This window comes from Homo sapiens, chromosome 22, assembly GCF_000001405.40.
Source record: "Homo sapiens chromosome 22, GRCh38.p14 Primary Assembly".
Lineage (NCBI taxonomy): Eukaryota > Metazoa > Chordata > Mammalia > Primates > Hominidae > Homo > Homo sapiens.
The window spans coordinates 42,735,495-42,762,869 of NC_000022.11; the positions used below are offsets into that span (position 1 = coordinate 42,735,495).

Consider the following 27,375-nt stretch of genomic DNA (forward strand, 5'->3'; position numbering starts at 1 on the left):
TCGCCTCGGCCTCCCAAAGTGCTGGGATTACAGGCGTGAGCCACCACATCTGGCTGAGAATTTGCATTTCTGACAGTGCCTAGTTAATGCCGGTGCTGCTGGACTGGGCAACCTCGCTTTGAGAACCACTAGCTAGGACTTTCTGGTGTGCAGCAGGGTGAGCCAGCCTGGCACTGGGCACTGTTGGACTCTGTCCTTATAAGTACCCCCAGCCCACGTGGACTGTGAGAGGGTGGGAGGGATCAGCAGAGAGCTGGCAGCCTCTGTCCTCACCCCTCCAGGCCGCTGCCTGATGGGGGTACCTCTCCCACAGAACGGAGACCCAAGGCCTTACTCCCAATCTGTCCTAACCCCGGGAGCCCCTGAGTCCCAGTCTGTCCTAACCCTGGGACAGCCAGGGTTAGGATGCTGAAACTTGGGTTTGCCTTCCAGTTCTGCCCCTCCCGATGCAGGGACAGCAGTGGGTCAGCCTCCATGTCCATCTCAGAGCCCACAGGCTCTGTCTGTCTGCTCTGTCCCACTATTCCCTGCCCTTCATCATGACTTGATCATATGACAGGGGCATGGCCTGTTTTTGCCTCTCAGCCCCACTGACCAGGAGTTCCTGGAGGGCAGGCTGGGGTTCCATTCAAGCCCAGGACCTGGAAGATACTAGGTACTCAGTGTTTGATGAATTAATGAATGAATGAGTGAGTGAGTGAACGTGTAACTAGGCAGTTATTTTTAACTGCCTAGTTATAATTAACTTCAAAATGCATTTATTTTTATTTTTTTGTTTGTTTTTGAGATGGAGTCTCGCTCTGTCGCCAGGCTGGAGGGCAGTGGCGCGATCTCAGCTCACTGCAACCTCCACCTCCCAGGTTCAAGTGACTCTCCTGACTCAGCCTCCTGAGTAGCTGAGATTATAGGTGCGTGAGCCGCTGTGCCCCACACCAAAATGCATTTTTAAATTTTCTTTATCTTTCTCTTGGGTTTCAAGATGTAACCTTGTAACAAATTGCAGAAGCCCCTTTTCCCTTAGCCGTGAAACAGACTCCGGGTCTCTCCTCTTTCCGCCATCTATACTCCCCTCACATTTACCTAACTGCATGTTAGTATCTGATTATAAGCCTTCTTAGAAGCTCCAGGGCTGATCTTGAGACAGGCAGACCAAACCTGGAGATACAGCTGCAAAATTCCAGAGAGGACCTCAAGACGGCTAATTAACAACCCGCCCATTCTTGAGATGTTGCCAGCCCATGCTCCAGGTGGGCTGGGACCCAAGATAGCCTCAGGAATAGGACACATAGATGTTGTACTCAGCACGTTCCTGCATATACCTTCCTTATCAAATTTTCTCTTTTCTTTATTTTTTGAGATGGGGTCTCACCGTGTTGCCCAGGCTGGAGTGCAGTGGCGTGATCTCTGCTCACTGCAACCTCCACCTCCTGGGCTCAAGTGATGACCCCCCCGCCTCACCTGCTCCAAGTAGCTGGGACTACATGTGTGCACCACCACGCCCTGCCAATTTTTTTGTATTTTTGTAGAGACAGGGTCTCTCCATGTTGCCCAGGCTGGTCTCGAATGCCTGAGCTCAAGCGATTTGCCCACCTCAGCCTCCCAAAGTGCTGGGATTACAGGCATGAGCCACCACTCCTGGCCAGTTTTCCCTTTCTAAACGCTTGCTTTCCCCCTCCAAATTTGAAGTGGTTGCTTTGGATGGGAGTCCGGCTACTTCCCCATTACTAGTTTTGGGAGTTCTGAGTAACAAGATCACTTTCTTCCTTTTTTTTGAGACAGAGTTTCGCTCTTGTTGCCCAGGCTGGAATGCAATGGCGGGATCTCAGTTCACGGCAACCTCCGCCTCCCAGGTTCAAGCGATTCTCCTGTCTCAGCCTCCCAAGTAGCTGGGATTACAGGCATGCGCCACCACACCCAGCTAATTTTGTATTTTTAGTAGAGACAGGGTTTTGCCATGTTGGCCAGGCTGGTTTCGAACCCCTGACCTCAGGTGATCCACCTGCCTCGGCCTCCCAAAGTGCTGGAATTATAGGCATGAGCCATCGTGCCTGGCCAAAATCACTTTCTTTCTGCCAGAACTCTCACTCTTGTAAATTGGACTCTGTGGGCATCCGGACCTGTGTTTGGTTACAAATGAAGTGAGCCTTCTTCAAAAGTCAGCTCACATGTGGCTTTCTACCTCTAAGTGGTTTTGTCAGAGGCATGGAAACCAGAGCAACTCCCATCTTTAATAGGACCTGGGTAAAATGAGGCTGAGACCTACTTACTGGGCTGCCTTCCCAGATGGTTAAGGGATTCTAAGTCACAGGGTGAGATAGGAGTTCAGCACAAGATACAGATCATAAAGACCTTGCTGATTAAGCAGGTTGCAGTAAAGAAGCCAGTCAAAACCCACCAAAACTGCTGGGTGCAGTGGCTCACGCCTGTAATCCCAGCACTTTGGGAGGCCGAGGCGGGTGGATCACAAGGTCAGGAAATTGAGACCATCCTGGCTAACATGGTGAAACCCCATCTCTACTAAAAATACAAAAAATTAGCCGGGCGTGGTGGCAGGCGCCTGTAGTCCCAGCTACTTGGGAGGCTGAGGCAGGAGAGTGGCATGAACCTGGGAGGCGGAGCTTGCAGTGAGCCGAGATCTCACCACTGCACTCCAGCCTGGGTGACAGAGCGAGACTCTGTCTCAAAAAAACCAAACCAAAACAAACAAACAAAAAAACCCCACCAAAACCAGGATGGCAATGAGAGTCCTCACGACTACACTCCCACCAATCCATAACAGTTTACAAATGCAACGGCAACGTCAGGAAATTACCCTATATGGTCTAAAAAGGGGAGGCATGAATAACCAACCCCTTGTTTAGCATATAATTAAGACATAACCAGCTGGGCGTGGTGGCTCATGCCTATAATCCCAGCACTTTGGAAGGCCGAGGCTGGTGGATCACTTGTGGTCAGGAGTTCGAGACCAGTCTGGCCAAAATGGTGAAACCCCATCTTTACTAAAAATACAAAACTTAGCCGGGTGTGGTGGCAGGCGCCTGTAGTCCCAGCTACTCGGGAAGCTGAGGCAGGAGAATCGCTTGAACTCAGGAGGCGGAGGCTGCAGTGATCTGAGATCATACCATTGCACTCTAGCCTGGGCAGCACAGTGAGACTCCGTCTCAAAAAAAGAAAGAAAGAAAGAAAGAAAAAAAAACATACAAATGTGCAACCAGCAGCCCTTGGGGCTGCTCTGTCTATGGAGTAGCCATTCTTTATTCCTTTACTTTTTTTTTTTTTTTCTTGAGGAGTCTCACTCTGCTGCCCCAGGCTAGAGTGCAGTGGAGAGATCTCGGCTCACTGCAACCTCTGCCTCCCAGGTTCAAGCAGTTCTCCTGCCTCAGCCTCCTGAGTAGCTGGGACTACAAGCGCGCATCACCATGCCTGGCTCTTTTTTTGTATTTTCACTAGAGACGTGGTTACACCATGTTGGCCAGGCTGGTCTCAAACTCCTGACCTCAAGTGATCCGCCAGCCACAGTCTCCCAAAGTGCAGGGATTACAGGCATGAGCCATTGTGCTCAGCTCCTTTACTTTCTTAATAAACTTGCTTTCACTTTATGGACTCGCCCTGAATTCTTTCTTCCGGGAGATCCAAGAACCCTCTCTTGTGTCTGGATCGGGACCCCTTTCCTGTTAACAGTTTCTTTTTCTTTTTTTTCTTCAGACGGAGTCTCCTCTGTCGCCCAGGCTGGAGTGCAGTGGCGCGATCTCGGCTCACTGCAAGCTCCGCCTCCCAGGTTCACACCATTCTCCTGCCTCAGCCTCCCCAGTAGCTGGGACTACAGGCGCTCATCACCACACCCGGCTAATTTTTTGTATTTTTTAGTAGAGACGGGGTTTCACCCTGTTAGCCAGGGTGGTCTAGATCTCCTGACCTTGTGATCCACCCACCTCGGCTCCCAAAGTGCTGGGACTACAGGCTTGAGCCACCGCGCCCAGCCAATCCTGTTAACAGTTCCAACCCCCTTTTTGGTCTCTTAAAACAGACCAGGCTCCCCACATGAAACATTCAGGGTCTAGTCCTCACTTGAGCTTAGTTCAACCCTTGAAGCAGGTGAGCTGGCTACTGTTCCTGGTCCACAGATGAAGGGATTGGCGTTAGGGGGGTTGGGGGGTCAAGAGCTGTAATCACTGATGTGAGGCAGATTGATTCACAGCACAAAAGGCACACAGGTTCATCAGGGGGGCATGCATGGGAGCACTCACAATGAAGACCCAACCTCCCAATGCGGTGCAGAAACTTCCAAACCACCTTGAGGTTGCAGAAAGAATGGGGGCTTAGATCCTGGTAAAATGGGAAGGGAGAAGAGAGGAATTCTGTTGTGGGGCAATAAATGACTGCCAGGGAGAAGGATTAAATGGGGAACCAATATTAACTTTTTTTTTTTTTTTTGCATATTAGTAGAGATGGAGTTTCACCATGTTGGCCAGGATGGTCTCGATCGCCTGACCTCGTGATCCGCCCACCTCAGACTCCCAAAGTGCTGGGATTATAGGCACCGAGCCCGGCCTCAGAGATTAATTTCTAAATCGTTCTCTTTGGAATTTAAACGACCCCTGGAGACAGTCATTGTCTTGGAAAGAATGTGTTCAGTGGGCAGGCGAGGTGGTTCATGCCTGTAATCCCAGCACTTTGGGAGGCCGAGGCAGGTGGATCACCTGAGGTCAGGAGCTCCAGACCAGCCTGGCCAACATGGTGAAACCCCTTCTCTACTAAAAATACAAAAATTAGCCAGCTGTGGTGGCACGTGCCTGTAATCCCAGCTACTCAGGAGGCTGAGGCAGGAGAATCGCTTGAACCTGGGAGGTTGAAGTTGCAGTACGCTGAGATCGAGCCACTGCACTCCAGCCTGGGTGACAGGGCGAGACTCGGTCTCAAAAAAAAAAAATAAAGAATCTGTTCAGGTGTGGCTGCATTTTTGGATAATGACATAACAGGGAGGGAAAAATGTCAGGCCTCTGAGCCCAAGCTAAGCCATCATATGCACTGTGACCTGCAGGTATACATCCAGATGGCCTGAAGCAACTGAAGATCCACAAAGGAAGTGAAAATAGCCTTAACTGCTGACATTCCACCATTGTGGTTTGTTTCTGCCCCACTCTAACTGTTCAATGTACTTTGTAATCTCCCCACCCTTAAGAAGGTTCTTTGTAATCTCCCCACCCTTAAGAAGGTTCTTTGTAATCTTCCCCACCCTTAAGAAGGTTCTTTGTAATCTTCCCCACCCTTAAGAAGGTTCTTATTATCTTCCCCACCCTTAAGAAGTTTCTTTGTAATTCTCCCCACCCTTGAGAATGTACTTTGTGAGATCCACCCGCTGCCCGCAAAACGTTGCTTCTAACTCCACCGCCTATCCCCAAACCTGTAAGAACTAATGATAATCCCACCACCCTTTGCTGACTCTCCTTTCGGACTCAGCCCGCCTGCATCCAGGTGAAATGTGAAATAAACAGCCTTGTTGCTCACACAAAAGCCTGTTTGTTTGATGGTCTCTTAACAGGGACATGCATGACAAAAAGAACAGCTGTTCTTGGCGGGTGAGTCCCATCTTTAGGTAGATGGGGTGGTGGGGGGAAGCTCTTCCTGCATTGCCGATCTCTCAGGGTTGTTAATTTTTATTTATTTATTTATTTATTTATTTATTTATTTATTTATTCATTCATTCATTCATTCCGGAGTCTCCCTCTATCGCCCAGTCTGGAGTGCAGTGGCGCGATCTCGGCTCACTGCAAGCTCCGCCTCCCGGGTTCACGCCATTCTTCCGCCTCAGCCCCCCGAGTAGCTGTGACTACAGGCGCCCGTTACCTCATCCGGATAATTTTTTGCATTTTTAGTAGAGACGGGGTTTCACCGTATTAGCCAGGATGGTCTCGATCTCCTGACCATGTGATCCGCCTGCCTCGGCTTCCCAAAGAGCTGGGATTACAGGTGTGAGCCATTGCGCCCAGCCATTATTTTTATTTTTATTTTTTTGAGACGGAGTTTCACTTTTGTTGCCAGGTTGGAGTGCAATGGCATGATCTCAGCTCACTGCAACCTCCACCTCCGGGGTTCAAGTGATTCTCCTGCCTCAGCCTCCGGAGTAGCTGGGATTACAGGCCTGGGCCACTACCCTCAGCTAATTTTTTTTTTTTTTTGAGACAGTCTCGCTCAGTCGCCCAGGCTGGAGTGCAGTGGCTCGATCTCCGCTCACTGCAAGCTCCGCCTCCCCGGTTCACGCCATTCTCCTGCCTCAGCCTCCCGAGTAGCTGGGACTACAGGCGCCCGCCACCATCCCCGGCTAATTTTTTTTGTATTTTTAGTAGAGACAGGGTTTCACCGTGTTAGCCAGGATGGTCGTGATCTGATCTCATGATCTGCCCGCCTCGGCCTCCCAAAGTGCTGGTATTACAGGCGTGAGCCAGCGCGCCCGGCCACTCAGCTAATTTTTGTATTTTTAGTAGAGACGGGGGTTTCACCATCTTGGTCAGGCTGGTCTCGAACTCCTGACCTCAGTTGATCCACCTGCCTCAGCCTCCCAAAGTGGTGAGATCAAGAGTGAGCCACGGCACCCAGCCTAAGGGTTTTTAATTCAAATGCTCATTATAGCAGGGAGTCATATTTTGGGGTATATTTTGATTTCCTTCAGTGGGGACGTCACAACTCAGACCCTCCCCCTACCTGGCTCCTCAAGCTTGGGCAATAAGCTTTGCAGGGGGTGGGCTGATGCCAGGGAGTCCGGAAGCCGGAAAGGCAATTGGTTTATAGTGGATCAGGGTGGAGAGGGCACACCGGGCAGAGGGAACATCTTGTACAAAGGCCGGGGGGTAGGAGCAGCCGTGCAGGGAAAGATGGTGAGTTTGATTTTGACATGTCGTACTAAGGTGCCTTGAGCAACCTCCAGGCAGAGGGCTGGGCCAGTGACAAGGATTTAGGTGGCTGTGATTGGCCTGCGAGGCCCCCAGAGGAGGAGAGGAAGAGAAGGGGTGAGAGGCCAGGACAGAATCTTGAGGGAGAGGAGAGTATCGGGCAGCATCAGGCCCTGGCAGGGTTTAGGAAGATGATGGCTGAGTGTGTCCCTCAGGCTCGGGGACTCGTAGGTCTTTGGCCTCCTTGTGGGGGTAGTGGTGGGGGCGGTTTCAGTGGGCAGCATGGAGAGATCAGACCTCGGAAGGAGAGACAGCAGGTATAGACCACTCTCCTGAGAAGCTCGCACGGCTTGGAGCCCAGGGTGATGGGGCCCAGGTTTTTGCTGTTTGTTTTGTTTCCAGATGTAAATATCCTTGAACACTGAATGAATCAGGATTCTCTTAGTTGCAAATTTCAGAAATCCACTTCACATTCACTCACCCACAAAGAAGATTCACTGGCTTGTGGAATTGCCAAGATTCCAAACCGAATATTCGGACAAGCAGGAACTCCCCAAGCCTAGTGCTCCAATGCCCCCACTACTCTCTTCCTGTCCACTCCTCATCTCTGTTCTTGACAGACTGGCTCTCCGTGGGACTGGGAAGACAAAGTTCTCTTCTGCATTTTGTTTGCAAAATCCCAACTCTGGGTTCTGATTGGTTCTCCTTGAGCCAATCAGCTGGGTGCAAGGTAGCAAAATCCCCGATCTGGACTCGGATTGGTCCCCCTGGGTCTGCTGGCCCTCGCGCTCTGGGTAGGGGCTTCTGCATGTCCCGGGTAGCGAAGTGCTGTGTGGATCAGAGCATCCTCTCTCTCCTAGGGTCCTGGGAGGACCCTGCAGGCCCAGCAGCGGCCATCCTGGGTGGCAGGAGATTGAAAAGCTGTGAGGGCTGGGGCAGGGGACATTCAGACTGGACTTGGACTGGGCTGGGGGCCTGAGCACCCTCTGTCATGGGTTCCAACCCCTACCCCCAGAGGACAGACACTTCATTCTTCAGTTTTGTCTGTGGCTTAGGGGGGTTCCAGCCCTGCCCCCAACCTGCGCCCTCTCACCTTCCCCGCCAGGGGATCAGTAGTGTGTGGGGGTGGGGAGAAAGAGCCTCTGGGGTCCCCCTAGTGATTGAATCTTCAGAGCCTGAGGCAGGAAGGCTCTGGTGGGGAGGAGGGCAGGCATTTGGAGCAGAGCCCAGGCCCAGCCCCGGGGACAGCCCATGGCGGCCCCTTTGGTCTCTCCCTCTGGGGGCCTCTATTCTTTCCATTGTTTGGCCTCTGTTTGCCCTAAAGTTACCTAGGAAATTTGCTTTGGGGTAGATTCCAGCTGTTCTCAGCTGAACCCAGAGAACACTCACTTCAGCCTGGCAGGCTGGGCCTTGGAACATCCCTGGAGGCCGGGTGGGGCCCTGGCAAGGCCTGGAGCGTGAGAGGGAAGCCAGGAAGTGGCGGGGAGGACGTGGAGAAGGAAAGAGGATGAAATATTAATAGCAATAAAGAGACACAGAGGCTGGGAGCCCTGGCTGACGCCTGTTATCCCTGCACTTTGGGAGGCCGGGCGGGAGGATCACTTAAGGCCAGAAGTTTGAGACCAGCCTGAGCAACATAGTGAGACTTTGTCTCTAAAAAAATTAAAAAATAAAGGCCAGGCGCGGTGACTCACGCCTGTAATCCCAGCACTTTGGGAGGCCAAGGCGGGTGGATCACGAGGTCAGGAAATCGAGACCATCCTGACCAACATGGTGAAACCCGTCTCTATTAAAATACAAAAAATTAGCCGGGCGTGGCGGCGGGCACCTGTAGTCCGAGCTACTCCGGAAGCTGAGGCAGGAGAATGGCGTGAACCTGGGAGGCGGAGGTTGCAGTGAGCCGAGATTGCGCCACTGCACTCCAGCCTGGGCAACAGAGCAAGACTCCATCTCAAAAAAGATAAATAAATAAAATTTAAAAATAAAATAAAAAATTAGACGGGCACGGTGGTGCATGCCTGTAGTCCCAGTGGGAGGATCACTTGAGCTGGGGAGGTCGAGGCTGTCAAAGCAGCTCCATCTTGGACGCTAATCTGCCATGTTGACTTCTGAGTAATCCCAGTTCTGGGAGGCCTCTAACATTTCCAGTTTGGCCGGGCGCGGTGGCTCACCCCTGTAATCCCAGCACTTTGGTGATTCTCCCCGGGGCCTGAAAGCTTGAAGGGATGGGTAACGCCTCCCTTCTCAGGCCCAGTCCCAAGGCGCAAGGCTACTTAAGCGCCAGCAGCATGGCCGAAGCAGGAAGAGAGCCGGGCAGAAAACACCTACCTGGCCGGAAGACACATACTCGCTGAAGATCGAGTGGGAGGCCGTCCGGGTACCATGTAGCAGTCACGTCAGACTGGGACACTTCCTGTTTACAGGAGACTATAAAACCCCCACTCCGTCCTCATTTGGTGCTGACGCCATTTTAGGTCTCGGCCCACCTGCACGTAATCGCTCATTAAAACAGCGTGTTGCCCCCACATTGCCTCGTGCTGTCTGTTGGCGCGCTCTCGGGGTTGGAACCGATACGAGAACCTTTAATTTGGGAGGCTGAGGCGGGTGGATCACCTGAGGTCAGGAGTTGGGCACCAGCCTGGGCAACATGGCGAAACCCCGTCTCTACTAAAAATACAAAAATAAGCCGGGCGCGGTGGCCTGTGCCTGCTACTCGGGAGGCTGAGGCAGGAGAATCCCTCGAAACCCGGTGGCAGAGGTTGCAGTGAGCCGAGATCGTGTCACTGCACTCCAGCCGGGGCGACAAAGTGAGACTTCGACTCAAAAACAAAAAGATTTCCAGTTTCTCTATTGTTCCTTGTGTAAGAGCACACACTTACTATAAATCCTGCCCTAAGGTCAAACAATCTTAATGTTATCATACTTCAAGTGGCCTGCTCGTCCCTCTGACTCACCCTTTCCCAGGCTATGTAAGCCCTGGGTCTGGGAGTGAGAGTGTGGCGATCCACCTCTTGTCTCGCTGCTTTACACACAGACATGGCTTCTGTTCATAAGGCCCTATTAAACGTTTTTTCCTGAGAAGCCAGATTTGTCAGCCTCTTTTTTCAGCCTCTTAGCTTCCTTAGACTTTTGGGGCAGGTTTGTCTAGACCTGTCCACCACCCACCAGGGGACATTCACGGAGCCTAATCTTGAGTCCCAGGAGTTGAGCGAGGAGAGGCAGCAAATAAAGAGCTAATGGCCGGGCATGGTCACAGCTCACGCCTGTAATACCAGCACTTTGGGAGGCTGAGGCGGGCAGATTGTCTGAGGTCAGGAGTTCGAGACCAGCCTGGCCAACATGGTGAAACCCCATCTCTACTAAAAATAAAAAAATTAGCCAGCCTGGTAGCAGGCGTCTGTAATCCCAGCTACTTGGGAGGCTGGGGCAGGAGAATCGCTGGAAGCTGGGAGGCAGATGTTGCAGTGGGCCGAGATCACACCACTGCACTCCAGCCTGGGCGACAGGGGGAGACACAGTCTCAAAAAATAAAAAATAAAAAACCAAAATTGGCCAGTGTAGTGGCACATGCCTGTAATCCCAGCTACTCAGGAGGTTGAGGCAGGAGAATCGCTTGAACCCTAGGCAACAAGAGCTAAACTGCCTCTCAAAAGAAAAAAAAAAGCTGCTGGGGGTGGTGGCTCATGCCTGTAATATCAGCACTTTGGGAGGCTGAGGCGGGCGGATCACAAGGTCAGGAGTTCGAGACCAGTCTGGCCAATATGGTGAAACCCCATCTCTACTAAAAATACAAAAATTAGCCGGGCGTGGTGGCAGGTGCCTGTAGTCTCAGCTACTCAGGAGGCTGAGGCAGGAGAATCGCTTGAACCCGGGAGGCGGAGGTTGCGGTGAGCAGAGATCTCACCATTGCACTCCAGCCTGGGCAGCAGAGCAAGACGCCATCTCAAAAACAAAACAAACAAAAAAAACCTCTAATGACTGAGAATTTTCTAGAAATGGTGCAAGTCAGGAATCTATAAACATAGAGTCACAACATACATTGAGCAGGATAAATAAAAAGAATCTAAACCTAGGTATGCTTTTGGAAAGCTGCAGATCATGGCAGCGTGATGAATGGGAGACTTTTTTTTTGAGACAGGCTCTGTCGCCCAGGCTGGTGTACAGTGGCATGATTTCCACTTACTGCAGCCTCTGCCTCCGGGGTTCAAGCAATCCTCCCACTTCAGCCTCCCCGGTAGCTGGGACTACAGGCACGTGCCACCATGTCTGGCTAATTCTTTTGTACTTTTAGTAGAGATGGTGAGGCAGGAAAATAGGGTCCGGAGGCAGGGCACATAAGGCCAATTCACACTTCAGCTATGACAGGAAGTATCCTCTCCACAGGGCATAGGCCAAGTAAATAACCTTATAACTTTACTTCATCCTCTTCATTTACATAGGGCATACCCTAAGTAACCAATGGAATCCTCTAGAGGGTATTTAAATTCCCAAAAATTCTGTAATGGGGCCCTTGAGCCCCTATGCTCAGGCCAGCTCCCACACCGTAGAGTGTATATTCATTCTCAATAAATCCCTTTATTCCTTCCTTGCTTTGTTTGTGCATTTTGTCCAATTCTTTGTTCAAGATGCCAAGAACCTCCACCGGTGACAACAGGGTTTCACCACATTGCTGGTCTCAAATTCCTGAACTCAAGCAATCTGCCAGCCTTGGCCTCCCCAAGTGTTGGGATTACAGGCATGAGCCACCGCAGCTGGAGTCTTGAGATGGAGTCTTGCTCTGTTGCCCAGGCTAGAGTGCAGTGGCATGATCTCGTCTCACTGCAACCTCCGCCTCCCAGGTTCCAGCAGTTCTCCTGCCTCAGCCTCCTGAGTAGTTGGGATTACAGGCACACACCACCATGCCTAGCTAATTTTTGTATTTTTTAGTAGAGACGGGTTTCACCATGTTGGCCAGGCTGGTCTCGAACTCCTGACCTCGCAATCCGCCCGCCTCAGCCTCCCAAAGTGTTGGGATTACAGGCGTGAGCCACCACGCCTGACCAATTTAAAAAAACAAAACAAAAACACAAAACCACCAAACCTAGAGGACAATAGGGAGGCTTTCAATGACAATGGAAGCTGGAAGACAGTGGAATAATATTTCCAAAATGTGAAGAGAAAACAACTATTAATTTGCAATGTGTACCAAGGAAAACAGTCTTTTAAGAACAAAGCTTAAATATAGCGTTTTCCAAAAAACAAGATGTAAAGATTTTATTATACTCATTAAAAGGAACTTCCGGGCCTGTAACCCCAGCACTTTGGGAGGCTAAGGCGGGCGGGTCACCTGAGGTCAAGGGTTCGAGACCAGAGACCAGCCTGGCCAACATGATGAAACCCCATCTCTACTAACAGTACAAAAATTAGCTGGGCCTGTAGTCTACAATGCAAAATGGTCCCTGCTGACACTCTTCTTGTCTAGACCTCTAGGGTGTGACTCTCCTGGGCCTAGGGTTTGGCTAAGGCTGGTGTCATAGGACCGACATATTTGCATGCCTGTTGCTCAGTAGCAGACCAGGACACTGAGACAGCAGGGTTTGCAGCAAAGAAAGAGTTTAATGATTGCCGAGCACAGAGCAAGGAACTGGGAGGGGACCCTCAAATCCACCTCCAGAGGAGTTCCGGGCTGGGGCTTTTACGGGGATCCTATAAAGAAGTCAAGGGGTTGGAAAACTGGAGTCATTGATTGGTGGGGGCAGGGAGATGAATTCGTCAGGATGTGGAAATGGCTTTTTTTTTTTTTTTTTTGTGAGTCAGTTCTTTGTGGGATCTTTCAGACTAGCTGGCGTCAGTAGTTTCATCCGGATGCAGGCCCTGAAAGAATATCTCAAATGCAAAAGTGAACGTTTCATGACATACAAGTGGCTGTCTACAGAGCAGTTAAGGGGTGTTAGCATCCTGCGACAGGGTCTGTGTGATTCTGAGGCCGCCACAGGCACTGCATGGCTGTGAGGCAGCTGGTCAGAGAGCAGGCTGCTCTCAGAGCTCATGCTGAGTAGCTTGCAAGCTTGGCTTGTTTCCGTTTTTCCCTCCTCTTCCCTGATTACTTTTTTTTTTTTTTTTTGAGATGGAATCTGGCTCTTGTCGCCCAGGCTGGAGTGCAGTGCCGCAATCTCAGCTCACTGCAACCTCTGCCTCTTGGTTCCAGCGATTCTCCTTCCTCAGCCTCCCGAGTAGCTGCAATTACAGGCGCCCATCACCACACCCAGCTAATTTTTGTGTTTTTAGTAGAGACAGGGTTTTGCCATGTTGACCAGGCTGGTCTCAAACTCCTAACCTCAAGTGATTTGCCTGCCTCAGCCTCCCAAAGTGCTGGGATGACAGGTATGAGCCATTGCACCGAGCCCCTGATTAATTTTATAAATTTTATAAGGAGTTTCCCTGGGACCCCTATCTCCAGGGTTTGGCTATCCTGGGCTCCCCTGCAGCTACATTCCCAGGGTCCTCCCATCTGAGGCTAGGAGGGGCCTCATCCCTTCCGAGGCTTAGGTGGGGAGGCTGCCAATCCCTCCCCTCCGCCTGCACCTGCCTCTAACCCACTGCCCTCCTGCTTGCCCCAGCCTAATCCTCTGAGGGAGCCCCAGTTTCTGCCACTCCAGGGTGTGTGGGTGCTGGCCAGGGAGGCTGTGATCTGGTTGCCCGCTCTGTCTGCTTTCCCAGAGACAAGCGAGCCGAAGGCCTGGCCTCTTTGTTGGGATGGGAAAGAGAGATGCCCCCACAGCAATGAGAAGCGCTTGGTTATTATCCCAGTCGGCACCAGCTACTCCAGGCAACTGCGCTTTGCAGCCTGCAGGATGCAGGCTCAGGGACTCGAAGAGGACATTCTGTGGCCTCCCCAGTGGCACCACCCTCTCCTGGCAGCTAGGGATCCACCCTCCCCAGCCATGTAGGCCTGGTGGCTGGCTCTTAACCTCCCATGCCAGGTGGGGGTGCCCCTGCACTACTGTCCGTCCTCAGGCTGGCTGCTCCCACTCCCATGGTCCCTGTGTTCGCAGCCTCACCACTGGCAGAAAAAATAAGCATCACTGGTTGGGCGCGGTGGCTCATGCCTGTAATAACAGCATTTTGGGAGGCCGAGGCAGGTGGATCACTTGAGGTTAGGAGTTCGAGACCAGCCTGGCCAACATGGTGAAACCACGTCTCTACTAAAAATACAAAATTAGCCAGGCATGGTGGCACATGCCTTTCAAAAAAAAAAAAAGCATCATTTCATCATTGCATCATTGCTGGGCACAGCTCCTTCCCAGGCAGGTCTGAGCTTGTTGCCCAGGGTAGGTTCCCAATACTCAGCAAAGCCTTTGCTACTTCTGTGCTTCCTTACAGTGTGGGCCTCACAGAGTTGTTTTTTTTTTTTTTTTTTATGGAGTCTCACTCTGTCACCCAGGCTGGAGTGCAGTGGCACAAACTCGGCTCACTGCAACCTGTGCCTCCCAGGTTCAAGTGATTCTCCTGCCTCACCCTCCCGAGTAGCTGAGATTATAGGTGCACAACACCACGCCCAGCTAATTTTCTTTTTTATTTATTTATTTATTTATTTATTTATTTTTATTGATCATTCTTGGGTGTTTCTCACAGAGGGGGATTTGGCAGGGTCAAAGGACAATAGTGGAGGGAAGGTCAGCAGATAAACAAGTGAACAAAGGTCTCTGGTTTTCCTAGGCAGAGGACCCTGCGGCCTTCCGCAGTGTTTGTGTCCCTGGGTACTTGAGATTAGGGAGTGGTGATGACTCCTAACGAGCATGCTGCCTTCAAGCATCTGTTTAACAAAGCACATCTTGCACCGCCCTTAATCCATTTAACTCTGAGTGGACACAGCACATGTTTCAGAGAGCACAGGGTCGGGGGTAAGGTCACAGATCAACAGGATCCCAAGGCAGAAGAATTTTTCTTAGTACAGAACAAAATGAAAAGTCTCCCATGTCTACCTCCCTCTACACAGACACGGCAACCATCCGATTCCTCAATCTTTTCCCCACCTTTCCCCCCGCTCCATTCCACAAAGCCGCCATTGTCATCCTGGCCCGCTCTCAATGAGCTGTTGGGCACACCTCCCAGACGGGGTGGTGGCCGGGCAGAGGGGCTCCTCACCTCCCAGCAGGGGCGGCCGGGCAGAGGCGCCCCTCACCTCCCAGACGGGGCGGCTGGCCGGGCGGGGGGCTGACCCCCCCACCTCCCTCCCGGACGGGGCGGCTGCCGGGCGGAGGGGCTCCTCACTTCTCAGACGGGGCGGCCGGGCAGAGACGCTCCTCACTTCCTAGATGTGACGGCGGCCGGGAAGAGGCGCTCCTCACTTCCTAGATGGGATGGCGGCTGGGCAGAGACGCTCCTCACTTTCCAGACTGGGCAGCCAGGCAGAGGGGCTCCTCACATCCCAGACGATGGGCGGCCAGGCAGAGACGCTCCTCACTTCCCAGACGGGGTGGCGGCCGGGCAGAGGCTGCAATCTCGGCACTTTGGGAGGCCAAGGCAGGCGGCTGGGAGGTGGAGGTTGTAGCGAGCCGAGATCACGCCACTGTACTCCAGCCTGGGCGCCACTGAGCACTGAGTGAACCAGACTCCGTCTGCAAACCCGGCACCTCGGGAGGCCGAGGCTGGCAGATCACTCGCGGTTAGGAGCTGGAGACCAGCCCGGCCAACACAGCGAAACCCCGTCTCCACCAAAAAAATACGAAAACCAGTCAGGCGTGGTGGCGCGCGCCTGCAATTGCAGGCACTCCGCAGGCTGAGGCAGGAGAATCAGGCAGGGAGGTTGCAGTGAGCCGAGATGGCAGCAGTATAGTCCAGCTTCGGCTCGGCATGAGAGGGAGACCGTGGAAAGAGAGGGAGAGGGAGACCATGGGGAGAGGGAGACCATGAGGAGAGGGAGAGGGACAGGGACAGGGACAGGGAGAGGGAGAGCTACTCCCTGTGTTTGATTCCCCTCCAAGAGCCCTAATTTTCATCTTTTAATAGAAACGGGGTTTCACCATGTTGGCCAGGCTGGTCTCGAACTCCTGAACTCAGGTGATCTGCCCGCCTAGGCCTCCCAAAGTGCTGGGATTACAGGCGCATGACACCATGCCCAGCTAATTTTTGTATTTTTAGTAGAGTCAGTTTCACCATGTTGGCCAGGCTGGTCTCGAACCCCTGACCTCAAGTGATCCACCCGCCTCGGCTTCCCAAAGTGCTGGGATTACAGGCGTGAGCCACCGTGCCCGGCTACGCCCTGCTGATTTTTGTATTTTTAACAGAGATGGGGTTTCACCATGTTGGCCGTGCTGGTCTTGAACTCCTGACCTTGTGATCCGCCTGCCTCTGCCTCCCAAAGTGCTGGTATTACAGGCATGAGCCACCGCGCCTGGCCACGCCTGGCTAATTTCTTTTGTAATTTTAGTAGAGACATGGTTTCACCATGTTGGTCAGGCTGGTCTTGAACTCCTGACCTCAAGTGATCTGCCCGCCTTGGCCTCCCAAAGTGCTGGGATTACAAGCATGAACTACTGTGCCTGGCCCCAAGCCCTTCTTCTTAACCCCAGTGGACTGGGACCCGAAGAAGGCCTCCACGCCCCACGTTTCCTGTTAGGAAACTGTGAGACTTCGTATCTGCCCATGGAACACCCCCACCCCAGATGCTGAAACACAGTGCAAGGCCAGGTGACGAGGGGTGGGGGCCTGTCCCAGCCGTGTCCTCAGATGGCCCTGAAACCTAGCCAGTCTGTGGGAGACCTCAGGGTGGGGGGCCGCCCTGCAGGGCCGCTGCCCCGGGATTGCCTCTGACTTCCTTTCACGCCCCTGTTCAAGCTGCCTTGACCTGTTATTTGAAATAAAGCAAAACAATCTGGAGCTAGGACGAGTTCCCAAATCAACTTACAAGTGGTTCCCCCAGGAAAGCAGGACAAAGGACCGTGCTGCGCAGGGTGGGGTCAGCCTTTTGGGAGCTGAGAGAGGACTTAGAATTATCCCTTGAGTCATGGACACAGGTGACAGGCATCCCCCACAGCTCTCGGATAGCACTAACAGGCCACATCTGTGCCTGGGTGCCCATGGGGAGCAGAAGGAGGGGCGGAAAGGCCAGGGCCAGGCTGGAAGGGGAAGTGAGGAGAGGGGTGGACGCCGTGAAGGCTCCCCCAACCCCGTGGTCCTCCTCCTTGACATTTCCCAAGCCCCCTCCCTGCTGTCCAGCTGGGGGGGTCAGCTAAGGCAAGTCCCCAGGAAGTGACCTGGGCAGATCCTCTGCCGGACTCCAAAGGCTGGCTCTGGAAAGGGAGCTTCCTGGCATGCGAGGGACCCATGGGAAAGAGGTATTGGGGAGAGGGCACCCCGGATCAGCTCAGCCACCTCGTTCAGTGGCAGCACCTGTCCCGAGAGGCAGACGAGGCTGTGGACTCCAACAGGCCTGGTTAGCATCTTTCAGCTGCTCATTCTTTGTGAGACTGTGGGCTGTTCAGAGCCTCAGTTTCCTCGTCTGTAAACTAGGAAGAGTAATCATCCTTCCCTCCCAGGCTTGGGGTGACACACTGGTTACTGGGGGCTGTGCAGGGAGGGGGTCTCTCCCAATCCCCCTCCAGCTGTGAGGGCTGTGGTTCTGGGAACCTGCAGCCTCCTCCTGTCACCCTCCCAGGACCCAGGACAAGCTGTCTGTGTCCACTGAGCTTCGGCCTTAACCAAATTACTCCAGTTCTGGCAAAGTCCCTCTGCAAACGCACAAGACCAGCAGATTAAAAATCAGCCACAGCCCCATGACGCATGGCTCGGGGGTTCTGGACTGAAGGGGATTTTTCAGGTTTTTTTTTTCTTTACATTTTTTTTTTTTTTAAAGACGGGATCTCATTCTGTCTCACAGACTGGAGTGCAGTGGTGCGATCTCAGCTCACTGCAACCTCTGCTTCCCGGGTTCAAGTGATTCTCCTGCCTCAGCCTCCCCAGCAGCTAGGATTACAGGCACATGGCACCGTGCCCAGCTAATTTTTTGTATTTTTAGTAGAGACAAGGTTTCACCATGTTGACCAGACTGGTCTCGAAATCCTGACCTCAAGTGATCCACCCACCTTGGCCACCCAAAGCGCTGGGATTGCAGGCATGAGCCACCGCGCCTGGCCTTTCTTTACATTTTTTTTGAGACAGGGTCTCCCTCTGTTGCCCTGGCTAGAGTGCAGTGTTGCAATCATGGCTCACTGCAGCCTCAACCTCCCAGGCTCAGGTGATCTTCCTGCCTCAGCCTTCCAAGTAGCTGGGACTACAGGCACATGCCACCATGCCTGGCTAATTTTTTTGATTTTTTGTGGAGATGAGGTCTTACTATGTTACTCAGGCTGGTCTTGAACTCCCGGGCTCAAGCGATCTGCCCACCTTGGCCTCCCAAAGTGCTGGGATTACAGGCGTGAGCCACCGTGCCTGGCCTAAAAATAAATATATAAATAGAATGACTAATTCTGAACGGGACACAGAATCTGCCAGTGCCTTGACTTTTGGACTTTCCGGCCTCTAGGACTTTGAGAATGAAGTGTCTGTTGTTTAGAAGCCTCCTGGTCCTGGGGTATTTGTCACACCTGCCCAGATGGGCTAAGACGGGACCCTTCTGGGTGTTCGGGTAAAAGCTGGCCTCAGAAGCTGGTGATGTTTCCTCAGGAGGCTGCCCATGGTGTGGTCCTGGCGACGCACCAGCAGCACGTCACCCTCTTGACCCGGGCGTGTGCCTGGCTAGCTGAGTTTTAAGCCTCTCTCTGGTGACATTTGGCTTTGGAGAAGGTTCTTTCTCTGGCAAAGCATTTAGATGTAGCTAAAAATACATTATTGGCCAGGTGAGGTGGCTCACGCCTGTAATCCCAGCACTCTGGGAGGCCGAGGCGGGCGTATCACGCGGTCAGGAGATCGAGAGCATCCTGGCCAACATGGTGAAACCTTGTCTCTACTAAAATTACAAAAAAATTAGCTGAGTGTGGTGGTGTGTGCCTGTAATCCCAGCTACTTGGGAGGCTGAGGCGGGAGAATCGCTTGAACTGGGGAGTCGGAGGTTGCAGTGAGCCAAGATCGTGCCACTGCACCGCAACCTGATGACAGAGCAAGACTCTGTCTCAAAACAAACAACAAGAACAACAAAAAACTAAAAAAAACGAAAAATGCAAAAATTAGCCAGGCGTGGGCACCTGTAATCCCAGCTACTCGGGAGGCTGAGGCAGGAGAATCACTTGAACCTAGGAGCCAAGATCTCACCATTGGAGATCTCACTCCAGCCTGGGTGACAAGAGCAAAACTCTGTCTCAAAAAAAAAAAAATCATTGACTTGATCCTCAGCCTGGTCAAATCGAGAAGCAGCACTCATGCTGGAGGGGCCACATAGCCTGGGCTCCTGATTTGCAGGGCCATGGATAAACACACACACGCGCACACACACACGCACGCACAGCCCTTCCCTGAGCTTGGGTGCTCAGTGATAAGCAGAACAAAGTCATCAAACATTCCTCCCTCACTCCTGCTCTGCATAGGGGCTGAGAGCCAAGACATTGGTAGCTTTGTCAAAATGTCAAAATATTGCTAGTCATTGGGCTGGGCACTGTGGCTCATAGCTGTAATCCCAGCACTTTGGACTGATGACTTTCTTTCTTTTTTTTTTTTTTTCTTTTTTTGCGATAGAGTCTTGTGCTGTTGCCCAGGCTGGAGTGCAGTGGTGCGATCTTAACCTCCGCCTCCCGGGTTCAAGCGATCCCTCTGCCTCAGCCTTGCAAGTAGATAGGAATACAGGCGCCTGCCCCACCACCATGGCCAGCTAATTTTTTTTTGTATTTTTAGTAGAGGCGGGGTTTCACTATGTTAACCAGGCTGGTCTCGAACTCCTGACCTCAGGTGATCCACTCGCCTCAACCTCCCAAAGTGCTGTGATTACAGGCGTGAGCCACTGCACGTGGCAAATCCCAGCACTTTGGGAAGCTGAAGCAGGAGGATTGCTTGAGCCCAGGAGTTCGAGACCGGCCTGGGCAACATAGCAAGACCTGTCTCAAAAAAAAAAATTTGCTGCCGGGCACGGTGGCTCACGCCTGTGATCTCAGCACTTTGGGAGGCCGAGGCGGGGTGGATCACCTGAGGTCGGGAGTTCGAGACCAGCCTGACCAACACGGAGAAACCCCGTCTCTACTATAAAACACAAAAATTAGCTGGGCGTGGTGGTGCATGCCTGTAATCCCAGCTACTCGGGAGGCTGAGGCAAGAGAATTACTTGAACCTGGGAGGCGGAGGTTGTGGTGAGCCAAGGTCACACCATTGCACTCCAGCCTGGGCAACAAGAGCAAAACTCCTCTCAAAAAAAAAAAAAATTTGCTAATAGAACATCATACTTTCTGAACATAATATCTGAGATGAACTCTGGGGCACTGTATGAGTCAGCTTAGGCTGACGTAACAAAATACCACAGACTGGGTAGATTAAACAACAGTTTACTTTAATATTTATTTATTTATTTATCTTTTAAAGAGACAGAGTCTTACTGTTTTGCCAGGCAGGAGGGCGGTGGGGATATTCATAAATGCAATCACAGAGCCCTACAGCCTCAAACTCCTGGGCTCAAGCGATCCTCCTGCCTCAGTCTCCTGAGTAGCTGGGACTACAGGTGTGCACCACTGTGATAATAGAAATTTATTTTCTCACAACTCTAGAGGCCAGAAGTCTAAGATCAGGGTGTCAGTGGGGTTGGTGTCTTTTGAGGCCTCTGTCCTTGACTTGGAGATGGCCACCTTCTCATTCCCGAGTCTTTGTGCTGCCTTCCCTCTGTGTGTGTTTATGTCCTCATCCCTTCTTCTTCTTTTCTTGGGGGGACAGGTTCTCGCTCTGTCACCCAGGCTGGAGTGCAGTGGTGCAATCTTGACTCACTGCAGCGTTGACCTTCCAGGCTCAAGCCCCTCCCGCCTTAGCTCCCCTAGTAGCAGGGACCACAGGCACATGCCACAGTGCCCAGTTAATTTTTTTTTCCTTTTTTGAGATGGAGTCTCACTCTGGTGCCCAGGCTGGAGTGCAGTGGTGCAATCTTAGCTCACTGCAACCTCTGCCTCCCCGGTTCAAGCAATTCTCGTGCCTCAGCCTCCCAACTAGCTGGGACTACAGGCACCTGCCACCACGCCCGGCTAATTTTTGTATTTTTAGTAGAGACAGGGTTTCACCATGTTGGCTAAGCTGGTCTCGAACTCTTGACCTCAGGTGATCTACCCGCCTTGGCCTCCCAAAGTGCTGGTATTACAGGTGTGAGCCACAGCACCCAGCCCTAATTTTCATATTTTTTTGTAGAGATGAGGTCTTGCCATGTTGCCCAGGCTGGTCTCGAACTCCAGGGCTCAAGTGATATGCCTGCCTTGGCCTCCCAAAGTGCTGGGACTACAGGAGTAAGCCACCACGCCCAGCCTAATCTCTTCTCATAAGGATAGTATGGCCTTTTTTAAAAAACTTAAATACTCACCCATATGACCTTATTTGAACTTAAATACCCCTTTACCCTCTCTCCAAATACGGTCCCATTCTGAGGTACTGGGAGTTAGGGTTTCAGCCAGTGGATCTGGAGGGACATAATTCAGTCACAACAAGCAGGTTTTCCTGCCTTCTCAGCACAGTGTGACCTGTTTCTCTTTTCTTGCCAGAGGGAAGGGGACATTGAATGGTGTCTCTATAATTTGGACATCTCTGCCTTTAGTGTAAAAATTAATCCGTTTTCTGCTGCAAATAATTATTTTTTGCTTGTTCTGGAAAAAAAAAACCCCTATGAATTTAGAGAAGACAAAGCGCCCACTTCGAAAAAGAGCTCCTGGCCGGGCACAGCGTCTCACGCCTGTAATCCCAGCATTTTGGGAGGCCAACGCAGGCTGATTATGAGGTCAGGAGTTCGAGACCAGCCTAACCAACATGGTGAAACCCCGTCTCTACTAAAAATACAAAAATTACCCGGGCGTGGTGGCACATGCCTGTAATCCCAGCTACTCAGGAGGCTGAGGCAGGAGAATCACTTAAACCCAGGAGGCAGAGGTTGCAGTGAGCCGAGATCGCACCATTGTACTCCAGCCTGGGCGACAGAGCGAGACTCTGTCTCAAAAGGAAAAAAAAAAAAAGAGCTCCTGGCCTCTTCTGCACTCACAGCAGCATCACAGCCACTGCCAGGAGCTGGGGTTAGGTGGGAGCCAGTCAGTCCCTGCTGTCCCGCCTGTCCAGTCAGGCTCCTGGCTGTCCTGCCTGCTTACTCTTTCCAGTTGCACCTGCGGATTAGCTGGCAGGGGACCCTCTCTGCATTTGCATGGCTCCCCTGCCCCTTGTTTATGTTTACAAGATCGTTCCACGTGGTGGGATCACATGACTCCTGCATGCCTCCGTGAATCACTTTGAGCCATGTATTCTAGCTCTGAGTATTGGGAATAAAACCTAATATCGTAATAACAAGGGAAATGCAAATTTAACACATGGAGACTTTAACCGGCAAATCAGATGCAAACACCGCATCTGAGGTGAGCTGGCTGGCGCAGTCCTGGGGCTCACGCTCAGCCCCTGAGGATGTAAGGATTGTTAAGAACATGGGGCTAAGCCGGGCTCACACCTGTAATTCCAACACTTTGGGAGGTGGGAGGATCACTTGAGGCCAGGAGATTGAGACCAGCCTGGGCAACATAATGAGACCCTGTCTCTACAAAAAAAATCTAAAAACCCGGGTGTGATGATGCTTGTCTATAGTCACAGCTACTCTGAAGGCTGAGTTGGGAGGATTACTTGAGCCCAGGAGTTCGAGGCTGCAGTGAGCCATTATCGTACCACTGCTCTCTAGCCTGGGTGACAGAGTGAGATATGTCTCTAAAAACAAAAACAAAAAATAAAAGAACATAGAGAGATTTCTATGAATCATCAGGACCACTCTGACATTGCACATCTGGGAAATTTAGGTGACAAATGGGTTTGTGGCTCCTTCTCCATCACTGCAGACTCCTCGGAGGAGCCCTTGGTAGCAGCCAGGGACTACCCAGATCCAGCCTGGAGAAACGAGCTCTGGGGATGAGAGAAAAGATCCAGCGTGGTTTCTGTCTTCAAGGCCTTAAGATCTGGCAAGGACAGGCCAGGTGCAGTGGCTCACGCCTGTAATCCCAGCACTTTGGGAGGCCAAGGCGGGAGGATCACCTGAGGTCAGGAGTTTGAGACCAGCCTGGTCAACATGGCGAAACCATCTCTACTAAAAAGAGAAAAAATTAGCCGGGCGTGGTGGTGGGCACCTGTAATCCCAGCTACTTGGGAGGCTGAGGCAGGAGAATCACTTGAACCCGGGAGGTGGAGGTTGCAGCGAGCCAAGATCCCGTCACTACACTCCAGCCTGGGCGACAAGAGCGAAAGTCCATCTCAAAAATAAAATAAAAGATCTTGCAAGAATACGTGAGCACCTAGAAAAGGTAGGATCCAAGGCCAGGCAGTGGTGCAGGAGGTGAGTCCGGGCACTGGCACTCATGACTCCTCCATTCAGCAGCTGTTATCACAGACCCTCTCTGGCTGTGGACTCCTCATCTGTGAGTTGAGGATAAATATACTTTGCAGGGTGCAGAGACGCAAAGTCCCTTGGGCAGTGCGCTCCTCCCTCTGCTATTCTGCCTGTCCTGAACCCTCCCCACCCCTCCTCAAACTGCTCCCCAACTGTGGGACACCCCCAGGAGCAACCATTGTTATGTGATATCACTGCTTGGCCACTCTTAATTGGTCAGGGGGCAGGCCCTGACCAGTGCCAATCAAGAGTCCTTTCCTGGGATTTTAGTTAACCTCGAGTCAGCGCTCAGCGGCTAAGGCAGAGGGAGCTGGAAGGGTCAGCATCCCTGCTCCCCTGCTAGAAAGCCGTCTAGAGTGGAAGAGGAGGAAGGCAGGAGGCGGGGAGCGGGTGCCGTGGGTGTTAGCGGTGCTGCTTCGGGTGGTCTCTGAGGCTGCTTCCCTGCCCACCCTCGGCAATGGTTTCCCTGCGCAGCGGCGCGGAGTCTAGCAGGACCCCCATGGCAGTGTCTGCCCCCTGCCCACCTGGAGGCCGCCCTCAGCATTTCTCCCATCTTCCTTCCCACTCCCATAGACAAAACAAAACACGTCAAAAGCTTTGGTGAGTAATGTTGGTTTTGTAAGAGATTCACGAGGCTGGACGCCACCCAGCACAGTTTCTCCAATTCCTTCTTTTCTTTTCTTTTTTTTTTTTGAGACGGAGTTTCGCTCTTGTTGCCCAGGCTGGAGTGCAATGGCGCGATCTCGGCTCACTGCAACCTCCGCCTCCCGGGTACGAGTGATTCTCCTGCCTCAGCCTCCCAAGTAGCGGGGATCACAGGCATGCGCCACCACGCCTGGCTAGTTTTGTCTTTTTATTAGAGACGGGGTTTCTCCATGTTGGTCAGGCTGGTCTCGAACTCCCGACCTTAGGTGATCCGCCCGCCTCGGCCTCCCAAAGTGCTGGGGTTACAGACATCAGCCACTGTGCCCGGCCCCAATTTCTTCTTTTCTTACATACTCTAAGCTCCCCTGCTCCACCCCCTCATCCACACCGGACCACTGGTCTCAAACTCATGGCCTCAAGAGGTCCTCCTACCTAAGCCTCCCAAAGTGTTGGGATTACTGGCGTGAGCCACCATGCCAGGGTTCAATGTCTCCTCTTTTTTTCCAAAAAAAAATTTTTTTTTGTGACTCTGTCACCCAGGCTGGGGTGCAATGGCGTGATCTCAGCTCCCTGCAACCTCCGCCTCCTGGGTTCAAGTGATTCTCCTACCGTAGCCTCCTGAGTAGCTGGGATTACAGGCACGCGCCATCATGCCTAGCTAATTTTTGTATTTTTAGTAGGGACAGGGTTTCACCATGTAGGCCAGGCTGGTCTTGAACTCCTGACCTCAAGTGATCCACCGGCCTTGGCCTCCCAAAATGCTGGGATTACAGGCGTGAGCCACCTCGCCTGGCCAAAAATGTTTTAAGTTTTTTTCTTCCCCTCCAAACTCAGGTTAAAATTGTCTCCTCTTTCAGTGTGGAGGAATCTAGCTTCACAAAATCACAAAACCATGGGCCGGGCGCAGTGGCTCATGCCTGTAATCCATGTGCCTGGTCAGCATGGTGAAACCCCGTCTCTACTAAAAATACAAAAATTAGCCAGGCGTGGTGGCAGGCGCCTATAATCCCAGCTACTCGGGAAGCTGAGGCAGGAGAATCGCTTGAACCCGGGAGGTGGAGGTTGCAGTGAGCTGAGATCGCACCACTGCACTCTAGCCTGGGCAACAGAGCGAGGCTCTGACTTAAACAAAAAACAAAAAACAAAAAAACAAACAAAAAAACCCCCACAAAACCAAGTCCAGAATCCCCCAGAAGTGGTCACTTGTTTTTCTGCAAACAGGTACGTACCTGGGGGTCTCTATTCCCCTGACACCCAACACTGGGGGAATTTGGGAGGCCTCACCCAGAGGGGCTGTGCAGTGTTCCTGGGGACACTGGGACCTTCTCTGATCTGAGGCCCAGCCCTGCTCCCAATGACTAGGGCCGTAGCTTTTGGCTGAGCCTGGCTTGGGAAGGCCCGTGGCCGGAGGGGACTGCCCGCACCCCTGGGGCTGAGGTGTTTACTTCTGTTGGGGTCAAATGCAGTTGGAGTCAGTCCCACTCGTGTCTTGGACCCCACGTCGTGGCTGCCTGGGCCCTCGTTCGGGCCAAACTCCTGGTTCCTGAAAGGTGAGAAGGTTGGTGTTTTTGCTGAGGATTTTGTTTCCGATGAGAGGAGGCCTCTTAGGGAATGCCCTGCCTCATCATGAATGGAACAGGGTGGTGCCCTCACCTCAGACCTCGGAGGCCGTTTCTGCCTCTGAATGAATCTTCTGAAAGCCAGGGCCTGTGAGGGCTCGCCAGGTGGCTCCTGGGTGGCCCGCTGTGGCCAAAGCCTCTCTGTCCGAAAGGATGCAGGTGCGCGGCCTCAAACACTGGTCCAGCTGTCTCTGAGATGTTGATGGGTGGGGACCAGCCTCTAGGCCTGAGCCTGCTCAGTGCCACCCAAGGCCACCTCAGCCACACCCCGATAATGCAGTTTTGTCCTCAGGGACAGCTGACTGCCTCTCACTTTCTTTTCTTGTATTAGCATCATCAGCAAGGGAAGCTGAGGAGTGGGGAGGCTGCTGGGCCTCCACAGTTTCCTGGAGAGGCTGCTCCCCCAGCTGCTCCCCCAGCTGCTCCCCCAGCCACCTCCTGCCCGGCCCAGTTCTCCCCCAGTCACGCTGTGGGGCTTGGTGCAGAAGTTTCTCTGGTCTGAGAGAAGTCCGTGAATCCCAGTGACTCTCCTGGCACCCGTGTGGCCCTTGCAGGGGCTGCTGGGCAATGGGCCCCAGGGACAGAGACTTTGTGACTTTGAGTCCCCATAGATGCCAGACCCCCAGGCTTCCTTATTTTATTATTATTTTTTTTGTCTGAGATGGAGTCCTGGAGTCTCTCTCTGTCACCCAGGCTGGAGTGAAGGGGTGCAATCTCGGCTCACTGCAGCCTTCGCCTCCAAAGTTCAAGCGATTCTTGTGCCTCAGCCTCTGAGTAGCTGGGATTACAGGTGCGTGCCACCACGCTTGGCTAATTTTTTGGTATTTTTAGTAGAGACGAGGTTTCACCATCTTGGCCAGGTGCCTTAAGCCTGTAATCCCAGCACTTTGGGAGGCCGAGGCAGGAGGATCACCTGAGGTCAGGAGTTCGAGACCAGCCTGGCCAACACGGCAAAATCTTGTCTCTGCTAAAAATATGAAAATTAGCCAGGCATTGTGGCATGCACCTATAATCCCAGCTACTCAGGAGGCTGAGGCAGGAGAATGGCTTGAACCTGGCAGGTGGAGGTTGCAGTGAGCCGAGATTGCACCATTGCACTCCAGCCTGGGCAACAGGGAGAGACTGAGAAAAAGGAAGGGAGGAAGGAAGGAAGGGAGAAAGGGAGGGATAAAATACTGATACAATGGCCAGGCGCAGTGGCTCACACCTGTAATCCCAACACTTATAGGAGGCTGAGGCAGGAGGATTGCTTGAACCCAGGAGTTTGAAACCAGGCTGGGTAACATAGCGAGACCCTTTCTCTGTTTAAAAAAAAAAAAAAGAAGAAGAAAATACTGATGCAATGTTTAAAAAACAATAATGATAATTTTCTTTTCTTTCTTTTTTCTTTTTTATTTTTTGAGACAGAGCCTTGCTCTGTCACCCAGGTTGGAGTGCCGTGGTGTGATCTTGGCTCACTGCAACCTCCACCTCCTGGGTTCAAGTCATTCTCCGGCCTCAGCCTCCCAAGTAGCTGGGATTACAGGCATGTGCCACCATGCCTGGCTAATTTTTTTGTATTTTTATTAGAGACAGGGTTTCACCATGTTGGTCAAGCTGGTCTTGAACTCTTGGCTTCAAATGATCCACCCACCTTGGCCTCCCAAAGTGCCAGGATTACAGGCGTGAGCCACCGTGCCCAGCCATTTTTCTCTTGTTGTGTTTTCAAGACTAG

The 27,375-nt window shown here is 52.3% G+C and overlaps 6 annotated features.

The window, feature by feature from the left end:
• Nucleotides 5,106-5,682: an enhancer, noted in NCBI's record as "NANOG-H3K27ac hESC enhancer chr22:43136606-43137182 (GRCh37/hg19 assembly coordinates)". NCBI's record gives its function as "activates a minimal SCP1, AML or CMV promoter by ChIP-STARR-seq in primed H9 embryonic stem cells {active_cell/tissue: H9 hESC(primed)}" and the evidence as "EXISTENCE:reporter gene assay evidence [ECO:0000049][PMID:30033119]".
• Nucleotides 6,837-7,412: an enhancer, noted in NCBI's record as "H3K27ac-H3K4me1 hESC enhancer chr22:43138337-43138912 (GRCh37/hg19 assembly coordinates)". NCBI's record gives its function as "activates a minimal SCP1, AML or CMV promoter by ChIP-STARR-seq in naive H9 embryonic stem cells {active_cell/tissue: H9 hESC(naive)}" and the evidence as "EXISTENCE:reporter gene assay evidence [ECO:0000049][PMID:30033119]".
• Nucleotides 7,509-7,803: a silencer, noted in NCBI's record as "tiled region #8887; HepG2 Repressive non-DNase unmatched - State 8:EnhW". NCBI's record gives its function as "represses a minimal TATA promoter and a strong SV40 promoter by Sharpr-MPRA in HepG2 cells {active_cell/tissue: HepG2}" and the evidence as "EXISTENCE:reporter gene assay evidence [ECO:0000049][PMID:27701403]".
• Nucleotides 7,989-8,564: an enhancer, noted in NCBI's record as "H3K4me1 hESC enhancer chr22:43139489-43140064 (GRCh37/hg19 assembly coordinates)". NCBI's record gives its function as "activates a minimal SCP1, AML or CMV promoter by ChIP-STARR-seq in naive H9 embryonic stem cells {active_cell/tissue: H9 hESC(naive)}" and the evidence as "EXISTENCE:reporter gene assay evidence [ECO:0000049][PMID:30033119]".
• Nucleotides 13,079-13,640: an enhancer, noted in NCBI's record as "H3K27ac-H3K4me1 hESC enhancer chr22:43144579-43145140 (GRCh37/hg19 assembly coordinates)". NCBI's record gives its function as "activates a minimal SCP1, AML or CMV promoter by ChIP-STARR-seq in primed H9 embryonic stem cells {active_cell/tissue: H9 hESC(primed)}" and the evidence as "EXISTENCE:reporter gene assay evidence [ECO:0000049][PMID:30033119]".
• Nucleotides 23,369-23,663: a silencer, noted in NCBI's record as "tiled region #987; HepG2 Repressive non-DNase unmatched - State 23:Low". NCBI's record gives its function as "represses a minimal TATA promoter and a strong SV40 promoter by Sharpr-MPRA in HepG2 cells {active_cell/tissue: HepG2}" and the evidence as "EXISTENCE:reporter gene assay evidence [ECO:0000049][PMID:27701403]".